Here is a 19,739-nt window from a genome sequence, read left to right on the forward strand (position 1 = left end):
TTCTTTTCTGTTGGTTAATTGCTTTCAACCAGTTAAAAAGTATTCATGCCTTTGACTTTTCAAAAATTAAAAATTGCCTTTCAGAGTCCTTACATATATTTTCCTTCCCTTAAAGTTTCCATCCTTCTAACATGAAGAAAATAATAAAGAAAGTTACTTCTAATCCAATGGTTCTTGCTCTTCTATCCAAGTTCCTTAGATGTGAACCACCTCCATAAGATCCTGTGTTTTCTCTCTGGTTTTCCTTGCTTCTGTTTTCTCAGCATTATTTGTATTTTTCTATCTGCTTCCTGAAGACAAAGCACTTAAAAATGTCTCAACCTGAGTTGTATGTTAATCCATTTACAACATCTTGTCAGTGTAGCATTATTCTTTGTACCTTCCTTTAATGAAAAGTTTCTCCTTTTTGTATGCATATTAAAGTGTGCCTTCCTAGAATGTTTTAAAGTCATTTGAAGATCCTGTTCTTCCAAACACAGGGACGTGGTAACATTTGCATTTTTAATTCCTTTTACCAGAATGGGAGACCATGACCGAGAATGAGGAGGTGACATCAAAGCCAAGTAGTTCTCAAAGAGCAGACTCTCATAAAGGAACATCAAAAAGACTTCAAGGAAGTGTTCCCCAGGTCCTTGATTTTGAAGAAGAGTGTGAATGGCAAGTTTTGGCAAGTCAGTGGGGAAATGAAACAGATGAAAGGGCAGATACAGTGAAGAAAGTTTCCCTTTGTGAACGAGACAAGAAGAAAAGGACTCCACCAGAGAAACAAGGCCAAAAGTGGAAGGAATTAGGAGACAGCTTGACTTTCGGTTCAGCTATTTCTGAAAGTTTAATAGGTACTGAAGGAAAGAAGTTTTATAAATGTGATATGTGTTGTAAACATTTTAATAAAATCTCCCATCTTATAAACCATCGGAGAATCCACACTGGTGAGAAACCTCATAAATGTAAGGAATGTGGAAAAGGCTTTATTCAGCGTTCGAGCCTTCTAATGCATTTACGGAACCATTCAGGGGAGAAACCTTATAAATGTAATGAATGTGGGAAAGCATTTTCTCAAAGTGCTTACCTTCTAAACCATCAGAGGATCCACACTGGGGAGAAACCTTATAAGTGTAAGGAGTGTGGAAAGGGCTTCTATAGGCACTCAGGCCTAATTATACATCTAAGGCGCCATTCAGGGGAGAGACCTTATAAGTGTAATGAATGTGGGAAAGTCTTCTCTCAGAATGCTTACCTCATTGACCATCAGAGGCTCCACAAAGGGGAAGAACCTTATAAATGTAATAAGTGTCAGAAAGCTTTCATTCTGAAGAAGAGCCTCATTCTGCACCAGAGAATCCACTCTGGGGAAAAACCCTATAAATGTGATGAATGTGGAAAGACCTTTGCTCAGACCACTTATCTTATTGACCATCAGCGACTCCACAGTGCAGAGAACCCTTACAAGTGTAAAGAATGTGGAAAAGTTTTCATTCGAAGCAAAAGCCTCCTCTTACATCAGAGAGTCCACACAGAAAAGAAAACCTTTGGTTGTAAAAAGTGTGGGAAGATTTTCAGTTCTAAGTCAAACTTCATTGACCATAAGAGGATGCACAGCAGAGAGAAACCTTACAAATGCACTGAATGTGGGAAAGCCTTTACTCAAAGTGCTTACCTTTTTGACCACCAGAGACTCCACAATGGGGAGAAGCCCTATGAATGTAATGAATGTGGGAAAGTTTTTATTCTGAAGAAGAGCCTCATTTTACATCAAAGGTTCCACACTGGAGAGAATCTCTATGAATGTAAAGATTGTGGTAAGGTCTTCGGTTCAAACAGAAACCTCATTGACCATGAGAGACTCCACAATGGGGAGAAGCCATATGAATGTCGAGAGTGTGGGAAAACCTTTATTATGAGCAAAAGTTTTATGGTCCATCAGAAACTCCATACACAAGAGAAAGCCTACAAATGTGAGGATTGTGGGAAGGCTTTCAGTTACAATTCAAGCCTGCTTGTACATCGGAGAATCCACACCGGAGAAAAACCCTTTGAATGCAGTGAGTGTGGAAGAGCTTTCAGTTCAAACAGAAACCTCATTGAGCATAAGAGAATCCACAGTGGTGAGAAACCCTATGAGTGTGATGAGTGTGGCAAATGCTTCATTCTGAAGAAAAGCCTCATTGGACATCAGAGAATTCACACGAGGGAAAAATCTTATAAATGCAATGACTGTGGGAAGGTCTTCAGTTACCGCTCAAACCTTATAGCCCATCAGAGGATCCATACTGGTGAGAAGCCCTATGCGTGTAGTGAGTGTGGAAAAGGTTTTACGTACAACAGAAACCTGATTGAACATCAAAGAATTCACAGTGGAGAAAAAACCTACGAATGTCATGTATGTAGGAAAGTCCTTACCTCTAGTAGAAATCTTATGGTACATCAAAGAATCCATACTGGAGAGAAACCTTATAAATGTAATGAGTGTGGAAAAGACTTTAGTCAGAATAAAAACCTTGTTGTACATCAGAGAATGCACACTGGGGAAAAACCTTATGAGTGTGACAAGTGTAGGAAATCCTTTACTTCTAAGAGGAATTTAGTTGGCCACCAGAGAATTCACACAGGGGAGAAACCCTATGGGTGTAATGATTGTAGTAAAGTTTTTAGGCAAAGAAAAAACCTTACTGTACATCAGAAAATCCACACAGATGAAAAACCTTGTGAATGTGATGTGTCTGAAAAAGAATTCTCTCAGACTTCCAACCTTCATCTTCAACAGAAAATCCATACCATTGAGGAATTCTCTTGGCTACAAAACACCAATGAGTCCAAGATTGAGATTCAGAAAATCTAGTGTCATATGTAAAATGGAATAGAATCCCTGCCTACTTAAGTAACTGTTGGACAAATGATATATATTTCTTCTAAGGAAAAAGTTTATTATTTACTCTTTACTAGACAAATGAGTAGCATATAGAAGAAAGTTAATAGGCCGGGCTTGGTGGCTCATGCCTGTAATCCCAGCACTTTGAGAGGCCGAAGCGAGTGGATCACCTGAGGTCAGGATTTTGAGACCAGCCTGACCAACATGGTGAAACCCCATCTCTACTAAAATACAAAAATTATCCGGGCATGGGGGCACACACCGGTAATCCCAGCTACTCAGGAGGCTGAGACAGGAGAGTCGCTTGAACCTGGGAGGGCGGAGGTTGCAGTGAGCCAGGATCGCGCCATTGCACTCCAGCCTGGGCAACAAGAGCGAAACTCTTGTCTGAAAAAATAAAGTTCATCCCAACTTTCAAGTCTACAAAAACATAATCCAAATCTAATAACATAGTTGTAAATGAGAGCAACAATAAAAAGTAGACATGGGCTGGGTGCAGTGGCTCACTCCTGTAGTCCCAGGACTTTGGGAGGCCGAGGTGGGAAGATCCCTTGAGCCCAGGAGTTCGAGACAAGCCTGGGTAACACGGGGAGACCCGTCTTTAGTAAATAAAAATAAATTTATTAATAAAACTAAAAATTTAATAATAAAAAGTGGACATTGTTTTTTAAAATGTGTATAGTATGCATTTTAAAGATAGTGTCACTGCTGTGGAAAACCTGAACAGACAGTATGATCCAGAATGTCAGGTGTGGAGTTGGGCGGACAAGAGTCTGCTGATGAGGACAACCTAAAAGAGCACTGGATTTGGAATCAGAAGACCTACCTTTGATTCCTGGCTTTCCCTTAATGGCCATGTGATGTTATTAAGTCAGCCTCTAAAGCTTTAGTTTCCTGTCAGTCAAATGTTGACATGATACCTACCTCACAGGGTTGTTGTGAGGGTTAAGTGAAAGGATCTTTGTGAAAGTACTTTTTGAAATCATTCAGTTGTCAATAAAGTTGGATAAAAGAGGTTATGGTAAAAGTTTAGAACATGGGATCATGTAAGTTTGTGTATTAAGTCAATATTAGAATGAGGGGGATTCCAGGAACCTAAAAGATACTCATTTTCATAAGAGGAAGTATGGTGAATAGCTAACTGGAATTTAGTGTTCTAAGAATAATTTTGTTAAATTTACCTTTAAAAATATCTGAGGGAGTTACTAGATTATATATCTAGTTTATGTATATGGAAAAAAATGTTATGGCCAGCCATTAACAGTGATGCCAAGGAAAACAATTTATTTCCCAGCTTTTGAATTTGAAACTTAACAGATGGAGAGTGTCAAAATGGAAGGGCAGTGGTACCCTGCTTTCCCTATTCAGAGGGAAAAAAATCCTTGACCCGCAGTTGAGCTGATGATCCCTGCCACAGTCATTGTGAATTCTAATCAATATTTCATCATTGCTGTCAAATGATAGCCTGTTACTAATGAAACAACATTCTGTCCCAGCACTAAATTTACTGGGACATAAATTTTTCACATGGAGCCAAGCTCTTCACTGATTAAGCCAGTGCAGAATCCACTTGTGGGCAGTCAGTGCCCATTACCCCCTGTGAACCATTCTGTGCCCTTGAGTACATTTGTGGGTTTAACTCAGTCTATATTCTTAAGTTGGTAATTTTTATGTTGTAATTCTCAAAGTTCTGTTTCTGTAGCTGGACTATGAATAATACCTGAATATGAAGATTGTGTTTTTTAATAATGTCAAAGTGGTGTGTTGATTATCATAAATGTTATTAATTCAACCCCACAGTTTCTTGGGGGCTGGTTCCTCATTAGAGTGAAAGGTAGCCAAGAGTGAAAACTGGAAGGGGCCTAAGGCTTAAAGTCTTAAGACCTGGATGTGGTTCAGGTTTTGCCATCTGCCTCAGAAAAAATCTCTTCAGTTCTTGGAGCCTTGAATTCCTCATCTGTTAAACAGGAGGAAGAATATCTACCTCACAAAGTTCTTATGAGATAATGAATATAAAAATGTTTCATCCAGGTTGTTGAATCATCCCAGCTTATATAATAATTACAAAGGACATATGTACTTTAACAATGGAGAATGCTGTGATTTACCTCTTCACCGAGTAACAAAATGTCACATTGCTTAGATTGAGACAGCCCACATAATGTGCCACCTTCTGTGATGTAATAAGCTGAAAAATGTTCAACCTGAATTTAATCAAGCTTCTTGGACCTCATTGCCAGGTTACAGGAAATACAGGAGGCAGAGGAACAAATAAAAGACACCACGAGAAACAGACACATCCAGAACGTGGAATATTGCATAAGAAAGCTGCCCTGGATTCTTCAAAATATTATTATGATGAAAAAGAGAGGGGAGTGAAAATTGTTCAAGCTGTCTTGAGTCTGCTGTGAGTTTATTATACCATTCTCTGCTTTTGTGTATGTATGAAAATTTCGATATGAAAGGTATAAAACATGGATGAGGAGGCTTGTTTTTAAAAGATAATACTAGAGAGCCGTTAGGTACTAAGAACCAGAAATAGACTCACATAAATGGCCAATTGATTTTTGACAGGGGCAAAAGCAATTCAATGGAGGAGGGATCGCCTTTTCAGCAAATACTGTTGGAGTAATTGGATATCCATAGGCAGTAAACCAACAACTTCAGGACCTAGGACTGAGCTAAGAAGGCTCAGATGACTCAAAAGCATGCTCCTTAGAAGGAAAAAAAATGTTAAATTGGACTTCATCAAAATTAAGATAATTTACCCTGTAAGAGACCTTTTTACAAAGATGATATTACAGGTTGGGAAAAAATATTTGCAAATCATATCCAACAAGGGATTTGTATGTAAACTACATAAAGAACTTTCCAAATTTAACAGTAATAAGTAAATACAATTAGAAAATAAGCAAAAGACAGACATTTCACTGAAGTATAGATAGCAAATAAGCAAATGAAAAGATGTTCAACATCATTAGGCATGAGGGAAATGCAGAGTAAAATCGTGAGATATCACCTATCAGAATAGCTTAACTTTTTTTTTTTAATGGTGGTAACTGCTGGCAAGGATGAAGAGAAACAGGATCTCATACATTGCTGGGAATGTAAAATGGTACAGCCACTCTGGAATATAATTTGGCAGTTTCTTGTAAAACCACACATGTATATGTCATGCTTCAGGAATTGCACTTCTGAGCATTTATCCCAGAGAAATGAAAACTTGCGTTCACACAAAAACCTGTATACGAATGTTCATAGCAGCTTTATTTGTAATGGTCGAAACCTGTAGGCAACCCATATATCCTTCCTTAGGTGGTTAAAACAAATTGTGGTTTATGTATTACCATGGAATACTTGTTACTCTGCAATAAAATTGACTTATTGATATCCATAACAACTCAAATAAATTTCAAGGGAATTAATGCTGAGTGAAAATAATCACAAAAGGCCATATTCTGTATGAAAATATTCATATAACATTCTCAAAATGATAAAACTATAGAGATGAAAAATGGATTAATGGTTGCCAAAGGTTAGGGATGGTGGGAGGAAAAATGGGGAGAGGGTTGGATGGAACTATTAAAAGGTAGCACCAGAAAGGTCTTTGTGGTGATGGAACACTTGTGTATCTTGATTGCAGTGGTGGTTACACAAATCTATAGGTGCTATACCTATACACACATACTGTACCAATGTTGATTTCCTTTTTCATTTTATGTAAGATGTAACCATGAGGGGAAAGTGGGTGAAGGGTGCTATCTTTGCAACTTCCTGTGATTCTATCATTTCAAAATAAAAAGTAAAAACCAACAATGGCAACGAAAACCCAAAACTAAAGAGCTGTAACCAACTAAAGTGTGTGAAACTGATTTGAAAAAAAGTTATAAAATACATGTTTTAGGACAGTTGGGAAATTTGAATATGACTGGTTATTAGATGGTATTAGGGAATTTTTGTTGATTTTCTTACCTGTGACGGTGGTGGTAGTTTGAAGAATATTCTTAATCTTAAGGGATGCATGTTGAAGTATTTGGAATGAAGTGTTCTGATGTTTACAACTTTCAAAAAAATGATTTTAAATATGTATTGAGAGATCAGGCAAACATAGCAAAATGTTCATTGTTGAGTCCACATGGAAAATACGGGTATTCAATGTGCCATACTTTCAACTCTTCTGTACTCTGATATTTTCAAAATAAAACATTTGAGGGGAAATTATCAGGGCTTTCTACAGATTAATGCTGTGTAGCTTCAGGCTCTTGGGTGCGCGCCTCGCCTGAGTGTCTCATCCCTGCTTGGGATGCGCCCCTCCCTGAGGCTCACTTAGAGCTTCCAACAGCACAATCCTCCTAAGCGCTTCTGCCCCATCCCTGGTCTGGGGCGACATTGGACACCCATCGAGAGGAAAGCACCTCCGAGGTTCCTAGAGAGGCCGGCTTGGCGACTTGGGGAGCCGGAAGCCCATCCCGAGGCACTTCCTGTCCGGTCATTGTTCTCGTGCCGGTAGAAGCTGAAGTACCGGTCAGCCAGCCTCCTGCTGCAGAGCCAGTGAACTCAGGTCGGGCTTCTCAGCTGCGCACAGTGAGTGGGGTCGGAGGGGGTGGGCACGAACGTCGAGGGAGAAAAAGGGGCTCTCCCAGGGGCCATGGCCCTAGGAGCGGCCCCTGCGTCCTTTCCCCGGGGACACCAGCCTTGTCTGTCGGGGTGCGGGGGGCAGTGAGTTCCCCACCGCCTCGGAATCCCGGCTGCTGCCCACCTGGGGCCTGGTCCGGGAGAGGATGCACACGGACCGGCCAAGGGGCCAGATAGGTCCCAGGGACAGGGCCGCGAGGAGCCTATACGTGGAAAGAATGGATTGCCACGTTTGGAAATAGAGAAAGGACGTTGAAAGGGAGCCTTTGATAGAGGGCCCTGTGCCGTCTGGGACCGGAGGTCCGTCAGAATCTGATCAGAAGTCTGATGAGAGTACTCACTGTAGGCAGTCTTATACACAAGGTGGAACTAGTCTTAAGGACCTTCATACCAGATTGAATTCGGATAGTGATGGAAAGAATAGTCCTCCAGAATTAAGGTTTGTCACAGGAATGAAAGTATTGCATTACTTAATAAATTCAGTGTATACAGTAAGTGGCCAGTAAGTTGACATGGGGAAAAGAGTATGATCACTTCAATAGCAGCAACAGGGGATTGAATAAGATTTCGCACCCTTTTCCAATAAAACATTCAAAGGGGGTTAGAAAGAAAAATTTCAATCTCTTCATAAGCAATCAAACTAGTAAGGTTATTTTGCTCACAGGTTAAAAACAAAAACCCTGCTGGCTTAGCTGTGATAAAGGGTTACTGTCAATTAGTGGGGGTGTGAATTGGCATGGTGCTTTTGGAAAGCAATTTGACAGTACATATCAACCAGCAAATCCTTGAACCAGTAATTCTCTGATTATTCTAAAGGAATAATTCAGCAAAAAAAAAATATTTACAAAGAAAAACTTTTAAATATTAATAAAATGGAAATATAAACTTTTACTAAATAAATGGTTCATAAATAGAATATGATTAAGTAAATGATAATATAGCCACAATTTAGAATACTATGCCAGAATGAGGTAGTTCTATATGTGTTGTATTGAAAGATTGTTAAGACTATTGTGAAATACGGAAATTGAGTTAAAAAACAATGCAGGTTGCTGAACAGTATATAACTGTGATGATCTAAAGTATGTTTTTGAAAAATAAGCAATATGTGTGAAGGTGAACATATAAGTATGTAAATGCAGAGAAAATGGGTTAGGACTCCCATCTAAACTGATAAGTACTTTGTGTGTGTGTGTGTGTGTGTGTGTAGTGTGTGTAGGTTATATATTTAATTCTATATATTTCTGTATTACTTGATCCTTTTTCAATGAGAGTGAAGATTTATCAACACCATAGGTTATTGTGTAGCATTTAAAATAAGCATGAAGAATGGCAACATGAAAGTAATCTTTTTTTAAATCTTAAGTGTAATATTTTATCTCACAGGACATTTGGAAGCTATGGAAAATGTAAAAATCAAACAAAAAAAATGAAAAGAACCTTAAAACTACCTGTAATTACACCATCCAGAGTTAACTACCCACTGCTAACACGTTGGTATAAAGACTCCCAGTCTTTTTCTTGGGATCCTTTTGTTCACATTATTTTGTATCCTTGGCAATAAAAAATCTTTTTGTTGTAAAATCCTTTTTTAAAAAATGCTATGATGATAATTGTGAAAATATGTATCCCCAAAGTCAAAAACAAGAATTTGTAAAATCATAATTATTAGTAGTATGGTTGGAGATTTTCCTTTGAAAGAAATATCTTAAATCTTAAAATGTATAGTGGTTATCTCTTTGGAGGTAGACCGAGATGATTTTTCTTAATCATTTGCTGCTTTTAAGTTTTTACAATAAAAGTAAGTTAACTTTTAATCAGGAAAAAATCAATAAACATTATATAAAGCTGTTTGCAATGTGGTTATTATGGGAAGATATTACATATTTATAGTCCAACCCCTTCATCCTATGAGGGAGGAATAGAGGATTCCATGTCCTACATTGGCCCCTGGCCAGGCGCTGGTGAAATTTGCCGGTGTGGCATCCGGCAAATTTGCTAAGTGGCATCCAGCAAATCTCTCCTTGGTGCTAACAGTGTTTTCTGATTTCTCAGTAGGCAGTACTCATCTTGGCCCTGGGAAGAAACTCAAGAAGAAGCTTTTGAAACATAAAGCTTGGATGGGGTTTGACCTCTGCAGGGCAGCGCCCAGCTATAGGAGTTCCCCTGCTGAGCAGAGAAGATGACTGCAGAATTGAGAGAAGCCATGGCCCTAGCCCCATGGGGCCCAGTGAAGGTGAAAAAGGAGGAGGAAGAAGAAGAAAACTTCCCAGGTCAGGCATCCAGCCAACAAGTGCACTCCGAGAACATCAAAGTCTGGGCCCCAGTGCAGGGTCTTCAGACAGGCCTTGATGGATCAGAAGAGGAAGAAAAGGTAAACGGGGGCCTGAGAGGAAGAGGGGAGGAGATACTTGAAGACCTCAAGTAGTTTAAGAGGGGACTCTGCCCCTCTGCTTCCACACCTGGAGTCTTATTTCTTGGGTACAATTCTAGCTTCCAGTCTTTTGTAATAGGATAGAAACATTCCCTTCTGATTGATGTGACATTCAGTACTTTCTGTAAACCAGTGGTTCTCAAATTTTGCTACACAGAACCTGGAGAGCTTTTTATAAAATCTTGATGTCCATACTGTATTCTATTCCTATTAAATCAGAATCCGTGGTCCAGGCACAGTGGCTCACACCTGTAATCCCAGCACTTTGGAGGCCAAGGCGGGAGGATCACTTGAGGTCAGGAGTTCAAGACCAGCCTGAGCAACATTGCACACCTCGTGTTTTGCAATGCCGAAATACAAAAAATTAGCTTGGCATGGTGGCACGTGCCTGTAGTCTCAGCTACTTGGGAGGCTGAGGTGGGAGGATTGATTGAGCCTTGGAGGCATAGGTTGCAGTGAGCCGAATTCATGCCACTGCACTCTAGCCTGGGCAATAGAGTGAGACCCTGCCTCAAAAAAAAAAAAAAAAGAATCTAAGGGTGGGACCTGGGTATCCATGTTTTTTTAAAACTCTTCAGGTAATTTCAGTCAGGTTTTGACAATGCTAACCAGAGCTTCTAAAACTTTAATGTGCATAGGAATCACCTAGGGGTTCTTGTTAAAACAGTTAAAGTTCAGATTCTGATTGAGGATGTCTGGGGGTGGTCTGAGATTCTGTGTTCTTTGTTTGTTTGTTTTGCAAGCTTCCAGGTGATGCAGATACTGCTGCTGATCTTTGCACCACACTTTGATTCATGAGGCTGTACACTGTGCTGTCCTTAATGTTTCAAACACACCCCTTACCATTACTAGTCAAATGAGGGCAGAGGTTCCCCCAGAGCCTTTCTGTAATAATATCATCAAAACCTTGCTGCTTTGATCTTTAGATCCCACAAAAGTTCACTCTGAAAATTCTTCCCATATGCTCTCTCCTCTTATCATGTACTCACTGGTAAGCTAGGTTTAGATTCTGGAGTGAGCAGTGAGGTGCAATCAAAGTAATAAGGAAGAAAGTAGCTAGCTTGTTTCTCTGCCCAACTCACCCTGGGGGTTGGAGGAGACTCTGGCTTCCTTTTCTGTTTTTAAAAATTGTTCTATGGCCTCCAGGAATAGATAATTATGTTCTCATTCTCAAAATTGTAACCACACTACCCCCTACCACCAGTTCCCTCTTAAACATGTGCCTGCTTGTCTCTAGGGTCAGAACATATCCTGGGATATGGCGGTAGTCCTGAAAGCAACTCAGGAGGCACCTGCTGCTTCAACCCTTGGCAGCTACTCATTACCAGGGACTCTGGCCAAGAGTGAGATACTGGAGACTCATGGGACCATGAACTTTCTAGGTATGGTTCAGTTCCCTGATTCTGAATCTGACCATTGGGGTTTCTCAAAATCTTTTCAGAGACTGGTGGGCATCCAGTCTCCTAGGTTGACCAACAGAGTACTGAGGTATTGAAAGTGTCCAGGAAAGCTGGAAAGAGGAATGCTGAAATGCCTGTGCATTTGTCATGGGAAGTGGCTTATTTTGCACACAGGCTCAAGACACTAGACAAACATAGGTGTTGTGCTGAAACCTGATCAACACCAATATGGTACCAGGTTCAAGAGGCTGAAGAAGAGACCCAGAGCCAGCAAACAACATAGAATTTTACTAGGTGTTTATGTACAGGGTAGACAGTCTAGAGGCAGTGGACTGGGCACGGGAGAACCACATGGCCCAGTGGCACAGGCTGGACAGGAGAGCTGCAACTGCTTGCAAAAGGCATGCGGTTTATGTCGCATTTTCACTTAACACCCTCTCCCTAATGACCTCCACCTGGCAGCCTTAATTTAACCCAAAACAAGGGGCCTCAATCCCCTTTAAGGCCCGCATTCCACTGAAAGGGGTGGGGAATGGATAAGGAATGGATCTCCAGGTTGGCCACTTCTGGATTCCTTTGCTTGGAACTCCAAACTATATTCAGGTGTGTCTGCCATACAGGATCATTCTCAGGGTATGCTTAAGTTGTTGCCATCAGGTGTATTTACCATACAATAGGTGAATTCCAAACTCACTTTTTAGTGATATTTATTGTTCAATGAGTTTCATCTCTGTGCACACATGTAGGCACATGTCCTTTTTATACGCTTTGTAGTTAGCATAGGTTGGTGAGCCTGCAAGAGATGCTAGCCGAGGTAGGAACAGTCAACTTTTGTGGTGATTTTGAGCAAATGCCCTGGAGATGTTCTGTTTTCATAGATCTTTGTGCAAATTATAGAGGATTTTGAGCAGCTGTGTTAACCATAATGATGTTCAAAACTAGGTCTTCGTGAAGGGTACTGATGGCTTATCAACTTGTTCTCTCTAAGCTAGGACTAGAGAAAGGGTAGTATGTTCTAAAGATCTCACTGGCAGTGGCAGAAGCTTGCCTGTGGAGGAGTGACATATAAGTGAGGGTCAAGAATGCAGTAGCCATGAGTCCTGTGTTTCAAAGCACTTACTGGCTGATTGCCAAGCCCTATTCTTTTTATGAGTCTGCCAGATATTGAATATTTTGAACCCACTCTCCTCCCTAACCAGTTCCTCAGGCATCTGGGGACCAAGTCACTTTCTTAAACCAGTGCTATGGGGAAGACAAGGATCTCCACCTAGATTTTCTTGTCTCATATTTAATTATTCCCAAACTCTTAGCAGCTTCTGTTCCCCACTTTCTGCTTTGTGTTCCATTCTCTCTGGTGCATTCGCGTGCATGTCACTTATTTTCTGTCTCTGAGCTTTATCAGCCATTCATAGTCTTAACCCCAACAGCTGCACCTCATCAGGAATGGGCTCCCTTTTCCTACTTTGCCTCTTACCTCAAGACCATGTTCATACCCAAGACTTAGTATTTTGTGCTGCCAGCTATTTCCATGGCGATGGCAGGAACACTGCCAACACTATTTCCATGGCGATGTCAGCAGGCGATGGTGGGAACACTGAGCTCTATGTGTGAGAGATATCTGAGTGGGGTTGCTGCCCTGCCTGTAATAACTCTGTGACCTTGAGTAAGTCCCTTCTCTCTCTGGACCTCCATTTCCTGTTCTACAAATTGGGTGTGTTCATTAAGTACAGGATTTGTTGGCGGCCTCCTTCCTATGTGTCAGGCAGCGTGATAGGTGCTGGAGATACAGAAATGAATAAGACACAACCTTGCTCTTTTTTTAGCTGAAGGAGAACAGTTTCATCTTCATGATGAAATTGTATAATATACATGAAAGTGCTTTGGAAATTGTGATGTGTTACTGGGTTTTTAATGTCTGAGCAAGTTTTAACTGTAGTTTTCATATTTTAATTAATGTTGAATTTATTAAAGTTTATTCATTTAAAAACCAATTTTTAAGCCATTAAGCATAACTTTTTACTTCATCCATACATCTAGAAATATTTGTATAAAAGTGAGAACATTTGTATTTTTTCTTTAACTTATGTTCAGTTAAGCTTCAAATTTTACAGATTAAATTTTTTAAACATTTTGGCCGGGCGCAGTGGCTCAAGCCTGTAATCCTAGCACTTTGGGAGGCGGAGGCGGGTGAATCACCTGATATCAGGAGTTCGAGACCAGCCTGGCCAACATGGTGAAACCCTGTCTCTACTAAAAATTCAAAAATTAGCCAGGCATGGTGGTGCGTGCCTATAGTCCCAGCTACTTGGGAAGCTGAAGCAGGAGAATCGCTTGAACCCGGGAGACAGAGGTTGCAGTGAGCCAAGATTGCACCACTGCACTCCAGCCTGGGCAATAGAGCAAGACTCTGTCTAAAAAAATAAATTAATTAAAAATTTTAAACATTTAATTCTACCTGCTTATCAAATTTCTTTATATAAAACATAATTACAAATTTGATATCTTTAGTTCTTTAAAACATTCCAAACACCTAACTGGGCAGACTTACAAATCTTGTAAATAAAATCTTGATAAACACAGCTGTTATAAATCTAATGAATTGGACTTATAAATTTAGTAAATCAAATTACCCTTCTTATCTCAGAATACAGTCACCAGCTAAGGTGGCAGGCTTATGTAGCATTTCAGCTATCTTTAAAAAAAAAAAAAGAGTGAAAGAAGAGTATTGATTTAAAAACTATGGCTATGCCTGTGTTCTAGTTGGTCACAAATTAGTTTTTGTTTTAGTTTTTCATTATTTCTGTACTTAATTTAATTTCTCTAGAGCTACAGTAATCCTACATGTTTTTTAAAAAAAGGAAAAATACCATTTCAAATAAGCCAAGGTTATACGCCCGGATTATTTGCTGATTAATCTTTTTACCCAAAGAAATTTGAACTTGACTATACCAGATGGACCCTAATTCTCTTTTCTTAGGCACTTGCCAAGACCCCAGGTCTTACTTTACTCAGTGATGAATCACTTGCATGAAAACCTTCTAGGCTACAGTTGCACCTGGTTTTGTAATGGTTTTGACATGAGACATTATTCAGATAGAAGGAATTGTTTCCGTTATTGGCTCTAATCAGTTTAGTAGTTCCCATTGATCTTCATGCCCAACATTCTAAATCTCCCAGTAAGGAGGGTAGGAGTGAAAGTCAGGGAGACAGTGCAGCTATGAACTAAAGTTTTCATGGGCTCTGTTTCTGTTGGAGAGATGCCCAGCTGGGGTATGGGAGGCCCACGTGTCAGTGATGGGGAGTTAAAGCAAAAGAGGAGGTGAAAAGAATCAAGGGAGGAGACGTTGGATGGGAGGAGAATAAAGTGGGATGTAGGTGATAAAGTAACAGTAGAGAACACAAAGAGAAGCAAGCAGTCAGCAAAAGAAAAACAGAAGAGGCATGAAACTGTATATGGAAAAATTCAAAATATTTCACACAAAAAATTAAAAAACAGGAGAGGAGAGAGATGAAGAGTCAGTAGGGGGTCGAGATAGCAGGAAAAAATAAGCAGCAGCAGAAGAAAAGATATAAAAGCAAGTGAACTACAGAGAGAAAAACAGAACATTTTTAAAAAGAGGGAGCTAGCAGAACAGTAGGAATAGAAATAACCAGAAAAAGTTTAGCATTTCAGATTTTTTTTTTTTTTTTGAGATGAGTTTCGCTCTGCTGCCCAGGCTGGAGTGCAGTGGCACGATTTCGGCTAACTGCAACCTCTGCCTCCTGGGTTCAATTGATTCTTACGCCTCAGCCTCCAGAGCAGTTGGGATTACAGGTGCCTGCCACAACACCCACCTATTTTTTTTGTATTTTTCCTAGAGACGGGGTTTCACCATGTTGGCCAGGCTGGTCTCGAACTCCTGACCTCAGGTGATCCACCCGTTTCAGCCTCCCAAAGTGGTGGGATTACATGAGCCACTGCACCCGGCTTTTTTTTTTTTTTTTCTTTGAGATAGAGTCTTGCTTTGTCTGGCCCAGGCTGGAGTGCAAGTGCAGTGGTGCAGTCTCAGCTCAGTACAGCCTCCACCTCCCAAGTTCAAGTGATTATCCTGTCTCAGCCTCCCAAGTAGCTGGGACTACAGGCATGCACCACCACACCTGGCTAATTTTGTATTTTTAGTAGAGACGGGGTTTCACCATGTTGGCCAGGCCGTTCTCAAACTCCTGACCTCAGGTGATCTGCCTGCCTCAGCCTCCCGAAGTGCTGGGGTTACAGGCATCAGCCACTGTGCCTGGCCAGCATTTCAGATATTTATTGTTTGTCATATCTGGGGCTCTACTGTATCCAGCACTTGGGCATTTCTTTCCTCTGACACTGCTCATCTTGTCTGAATGATTGTGATAGAATTTCAGATTACCATAGTCTTAACCAGGCAATCAAACCAGGCTGTTTTCCTGCCCCCAATATTGCTTTGTACCACCCCAACATCCTTGTCCCACCCACTCATATCATTGGTTGGATGGTCATCCTATAGAATATTTCCCTCTCATGGGTGCTAGTCTCTCCCCTGCGCAGTAGCAGCAGTTATAACCTGAAGCTCACAGCACCACTGCTTATTTCTGAGCTGACATCACCAGTGGGAATACCTCCCTCCTCTACAGGCTTGCCACCCATTCCTGTTACCCTTTATTTCACTTGCCTTATTTCTTGAGCTTGGTTTAATTGACAAACACTTCTTAAGGGTTCACTGTGCCAAAACTGGATTACATGGGTGCACATTTCAAGGTTAAGGAAAGTGAGTGTGCAGAGGAGACAAACATAAAGAACTATGATGTTACTGATAGCAGGACCCCTTTTTGACACCATTAGGTTCTGAAGCAATGTAAAGCATCCAGAGACTAATCAGTGTCATAAAGCTTCAGGGTGTTTTGAAGTTCTCATGATATTTTCTGGCATTGTGGAGCAGGCTATGCCATAACTCAACAAGGTCAGCTTTCCTTGACACAATGCTAAGCTGTTCCCCTGACACAAGGGTAAGAGTTTGCCATGTACAGTTTCTTTTTTTATTCTCCTAGTGTAGCTGTCTATCACCATAGCAGCTCCCCTCCCCTAAGGGTTCATCTTTCCTTCTGGCCCCTCACAACATCATCAGTCAGCCTGAAAGTTGCTGCACACATTCAGAGCACTGACTGTATTCCAGGCAATATCTGAGTAGTTGACATAGAGTAACTCCATTAATCTACTCATGGCCTTATGAGGTAGATACTATTAGTATCCCTGTTTTAGAGATTGGGAAACTGAGGCACACAGGAGTTAAGTAGCCCAAAGTCATGGAGCTAGTTAGTGTCAGAGCAGAGATTTGAAACCAGGCAGTCTAGCTCTAGAATCCATGTTCTTAACCTGTATGCTGCAGGACCTCGCAGTGTTTCATATGGTTTTGGCTGCTGTGGCTGTCTTGGCAGCCAGTGTTACCCTTTCTGTCCGTGCTTATCCTTTCTTTGATATCCAGCATCCTCAGACACAGAAACCTCAGTTGCTAGATCTTTGTTTACAGGTAGCAAATCACCCTAATTAACTGGTGGGTTGCAAGCAAATCCACACTAAGTAGCTAAGGTAAGAAGGCAAGCCTAGGGAGAGGCTTGTGTCCTTCATAACTGGTCTTTGTTGCAAGGGCAGTCATCATACAGCCAGCAGGAGCACTGTCTGGAGATTGGCCCTCCCTGGCATGAGGCAGCGGGCAGCGGGGTTAAGTGTCTAATGGAGGCAAGTGGAAGTGCTGGAAAGACCACGAGTCAGTGGGTTCTGCCATAGGTAGAGGGGAGGGCAAAGCCCCAGCTGAAGAACCTAGAGAGGAGAGGTAACATGTGATGGGATTCTCTTCTTTGATGAAGCCATTTTGTGGAGGTGCTGAAATCACATACTTCGTTTTATGACTTGATGATCCTATTCTTTTTCTAGGCCAGAGAAAGCTAACATTTGTATTTTCTGTTTCTTGGTTCAGGTGCTGAAACCAAGAACCTACAGTTACTGGTTCCAAAAACTGAGATATGTGAGGAAGCTGAAAAACCCCTCATCATATCAGAAAGAATCCAGAAAGCTGATCCTCAAGGACCTGAGTTAGGAGAAGCTTGTGAAAAGGGAAACATGTTAAAGAGGCAGAGAATAAAGAGAGAAAAGAAAGATTTCAGACAAGTGATAGTGAATGACTGTCACTTACCTGAAAGCTTCAAAGAAGAGGAAAACCAGAAATGTAAGAAATCTGGAGGAAAATATAGCCTTAATTCTGGCGCTGTTAAAAATCCAAAAACCCAGCTTGGACAAAAGCCTTTTACGTGTAGCGTGTGTGGGAAAGGATTTAGTCAGAGTGCAAACCTCGTTGTGCATCAGCGAATCCACACTGGAGAGAAACCCTTTGAATGTCATGAGTGTGGGAAGGCCTTCATTCAGAGTGCAAACCTCGTTGTGCATCAGAGAATCCACACTGGACAGAAACCTTATGTTTGCTCAAAATGTGGGAAAGCCTTCACTCAGAGTTCAAATCTGACTGTACATCAAAAAATCCACTCCTTAGAAAAAACTTTTAAGTGCAATGAATGTGAGAAAGCCTTTAGTTACAGCTCACAACTTGCTCGGCACCAGAAAGTCCACATTACGGAAAAATGCTATGAATGTAATGAATGTGGGAAAACATTTACTAGGAGCTCAAACCTCATTGTCCACCAGAGGATCCACACTGGGGAGAAGCCCTTTGCCTGTAACGACTGTGGCAAAGCCTTTACCCAGAGTGCAAATCTTATTGTACATCAGCGAAGCCATACTGGTGAGAAGCCATATGAGTGTAAAGAGTGTGGGAAAGCCTTTAGTTGTTTTTCACACCTTATTGTGCACCAGAGAATTCACACTGCAGAGAAACCTTACGACTGCAGCGAATGTGGGAAAGCCTTCAGTCAGCTCTCTTGCCTTATTGTCCACCAGAGAATTCACAGTGGAGATCTTCCTTACGTGTGTAATGAATGTGGGAAGGCCTTCACATGTAGCTCATACCTACTTATTCATCAGAGAATTCATAATGGAGAAAAACCTTACACATGTAATGAGTGTGGGAAGGCCTTCAGACAGAGGTCGAGCCTCACCGTGCACCAGAGAACCCACACTGGGGAGAAGCCCTATGAATGTGAGAAGTGTGGTGCAGCTTTCATTTCCAACTCACACCTCATGCGACACCATAGAACCCATCTTGTTGAATAACAAGTAAGGAAGAGGAAGACCTCCAGCATTGGTCATAACCTTCTGCCTCCCTAATGAGACACCTCTTTGCTGTTTTCTTCCTCCTCTATAAAAGTGAGGGCTGTGTCCTTAAAAGTTATAGTTTTCAGGAATGCAGCAGAAGACACAAGAAAAGCATTTCAGAGGCTAATTTAAAACAAAAAGTAAGCACCTAAAGGCAAGGACTTTGTTTTAACTGTACCTTAAGCGGTCATGTTCTCTGAAGTGGAATGTGGCTTTCCTAGGAATGGGTCGTACAAAGCTAAGTGGTAATGATGCTATTTGGGGAAAGGTCTTTTTTGCTTAATTTTGTTTTTTAAAACTCTGATGATTGCTTGAGCAACAGGCAGGTTATCTGCCTGGTTGAATTCTGGTTGAACCGTGTATTCTAATATTTCTGGTTAAGTGGTGACTGGGTAAGGAAACCACTTGGGGTAGCAGTTCAACAATTCACTTACGAATGTTTATAAGCTTTCCATTTCCTAGGTAATTTTTTAAAAGCCAGTCAAAACAAAAACTTTACTGAAAATGGACAGAAATAGGAAATGGACTTTTTCCTTACTGTCTATACCTCCTGAACCTTGGTATTGTAAAGATCTGGGGACCTCTGGGTCTGTTCTGACCATTCCCTAGTCTCCATGGCCAAGCACTCAAGGATTGATGGACACCACACACCAGCTATATTCATTTGCCAAGATCAACAGCTCCTTCTCCAAACAACTCAAGCCCCCAATTCCCATCGCATTCCATTTGGGTGAGATGCAACTAACAGCCCCTTCCTGGATGAAGGAGTCAAAGAATAAAGCTTGCCTAGAGGCATGCCCCAGTTGTCTCTGCTGTCATTCTGCTCAAGTCCAGCCAGGGGTCTCAGTTTGGGTTTCATTCTCACATTCTGGATGGTGTTTAGAAGAAATAGTGGAGCTCTTCTCATTCTGAGAAGACCAAAGAGGGAAAGTGATGGGAGAGGGGAGGTGGAAATAAGATTCCTAAGGTCTTAATTTGATTTTTTGAGAAATTCAGAGGTATTGGAATATGAAAAACTTTTAGAAGGATGAAGAAACTGGCCAAGGTAAGATATCTTTGTTACCATTCAGCCTTTACTCCTGGAAAAATGATTTATAAAACTATGCAATAGGTAGAGTTATGTAATAATAT

General features: G+C 41.0%; 3 protein-coding genes and 1 long non-coding RNA gene across 20 annotated transcripts in view, besides 4 other annotated features; 3 read left to right on the forward strand and 1 right to left on the reverse strand.

Annotated features, from left to right (window-relative positions):
* The window catches only part of ZNF660-ZNF197 (ZNF660-ZNF197 readthrough), a 63,508-nt gene extending 56,418 nt beyond the window's left edge, over nt 1-7,090 (forward strand). For 3 of the 6 annotated variants that reach the window (NR_147692.2, NM_001351733.2, NM_001351732.2), the window contains one exon: nt 519-7,090. Coding sequence is in view for 4 of the 6 variants with exons in the window: in NM_001351733.2 (NP_001338662.1) it covers nt 519-2,839 (2,321 nt within the window). In the remaining 2 variants the exon portion in view is untranslated. The remainder of the gene's footprint in view (nt 1-518) is intronic. The other 3 variants (NR_147691.2, NM_001351735.2, NM_001351734.2) reach the window with 1 other exon arrangement.
* Nucleotides 1-7,090, forward strand: part of ZNF197 (zinc finger protein 197) — a 23,436-nt gene extending 16,346 nt beyond the window's left edge. For 4 of the 7 annotated variants that reach the window (NM_001323293.2, NM_001323295.2, NM_006991.5 and 1 more), the window contains one exon: nt 519-7,090. In NM_001323293.2, the coding sequence (NP_001310222.1) occupies nt 519-2,839 (2,321 nt within the window). In that variant the 3' untranslated portion in view covers nt 2,840-7,090. The remainder of the gene's footprint in view (nt 1-518) is intronic. The other 3 variants (NR_136582.2, NM_001024855.3, NM_001323294.2) reach the window with 1 other exon arrangement.
* ZKSCAN7-AS1 (ZKSCAN7 ZNF cluster antisense RNA 1) overlaps nt 1-19,739 on the reverse strand; it is a 128,297-nt gene that overhangs the window by 84,025 nt on the left and 24,533 nt on the right. The window lies entirely within an intron of this gene.
* ZNF35 (zinc finger protein 35) lies at nt 5,125-19,410 on the forward strand. 6 transcript variants are annotated; one of them, XM_047448870.1, is made up of 4 exons: nt 5,125-5,276; nt 9,563-9,878; nt 11,176-11,320; nt 17,320-19,410. In XM_047448870.1, the coding sequence occupies exons 2-4, from the start codon at nt 9,687-9,689 to the stop codon at nt 18,564-18,566; spliced, it is 1,584 nt and encodes a 527-aa protein (XP_047304826.1). In that variant the 5' UTR covers nt 5,125-5,276; nt 9,563-9,686; the 3' UTR covers nt 18,567-19,410. The 6 variants fall into 6 exon arrangements, with proteins under 6 accessions (XP_047304826.1, XP_047304825.1, NP_003411.3 ...); XM_047448869.1 differs by having other exon boundaries at nt 5,189-5,276; nt 9,560-9,878; NM_003420.4 differs by lacking the exon at nt 5,125-5,276 and adding an exon at nt 7,351-7,453 and having other exon boundaries at nt 9,560-9,878.
* Nucleotides 7,036-7,595: an enhancer, noted in NCBI's record as "NANOG-H3K27ac-H3K4me1 hESC enhancer chr3:44689909-44690468 (GRCh37/hg19 assembly coordinates)". NCBI's record gives its function as "activates a minimal SCP1, AML or CMV promoter by ChIP-STARR-seq in naive H9 embryonic stem cells {active_cell/tissue: H9 hESC(naive)}" and the evidence as "EXISTENCE:reporter gene assay evidence [ECO:0000049][PMID:30033119]".
* Nucleotides 7,036-7,643: a biological region, named in NCBI's record as "NANOG-H3K27ac-H3K4me1 hESC enhancer GRCh37_chr3:44689909-44690468".
* Nucleotides 7,474-7,643: an enhancer, noted in NCBI's record as "active region_19767". NCBI's record gives its function as "activates an Ori minimal core promoter by ATAC-STARR-seq in GM12878 lymphoblastoid cells {active_cell/tissue: GM12878}" and the evidence as "EXISTENCE:reporter gene assay evidence [ECO:0000049][PMID:35858748]".
* Nucleotides 7,724-7,833: an enhancer, noted in NCBI's record as "active region_19768". NCBI's record gives its function as "activates an Ori minimal core promoter by ATAC-STARR-seq in GM12878 lymphoblastoid cells {active_cell/tissue: GM12878}" and the evidence as "EXISTENCE:reporter gene assay evidence [ECO:0000049][PMID:35858748]".

Source organism: Homo sapiens, chromosome 3 (assembly GCF_000001405.40).
Source record: "Homo sapiens chromosome 3, GRCh38.p14 Primary Assembly".
Classification (NCBI taxonomy): domain Eukaryota; kingdom Metazoa; phylum Chordata; class Mammalia; order Primates; family Hominidae; genus Homo; species Homo sapiens.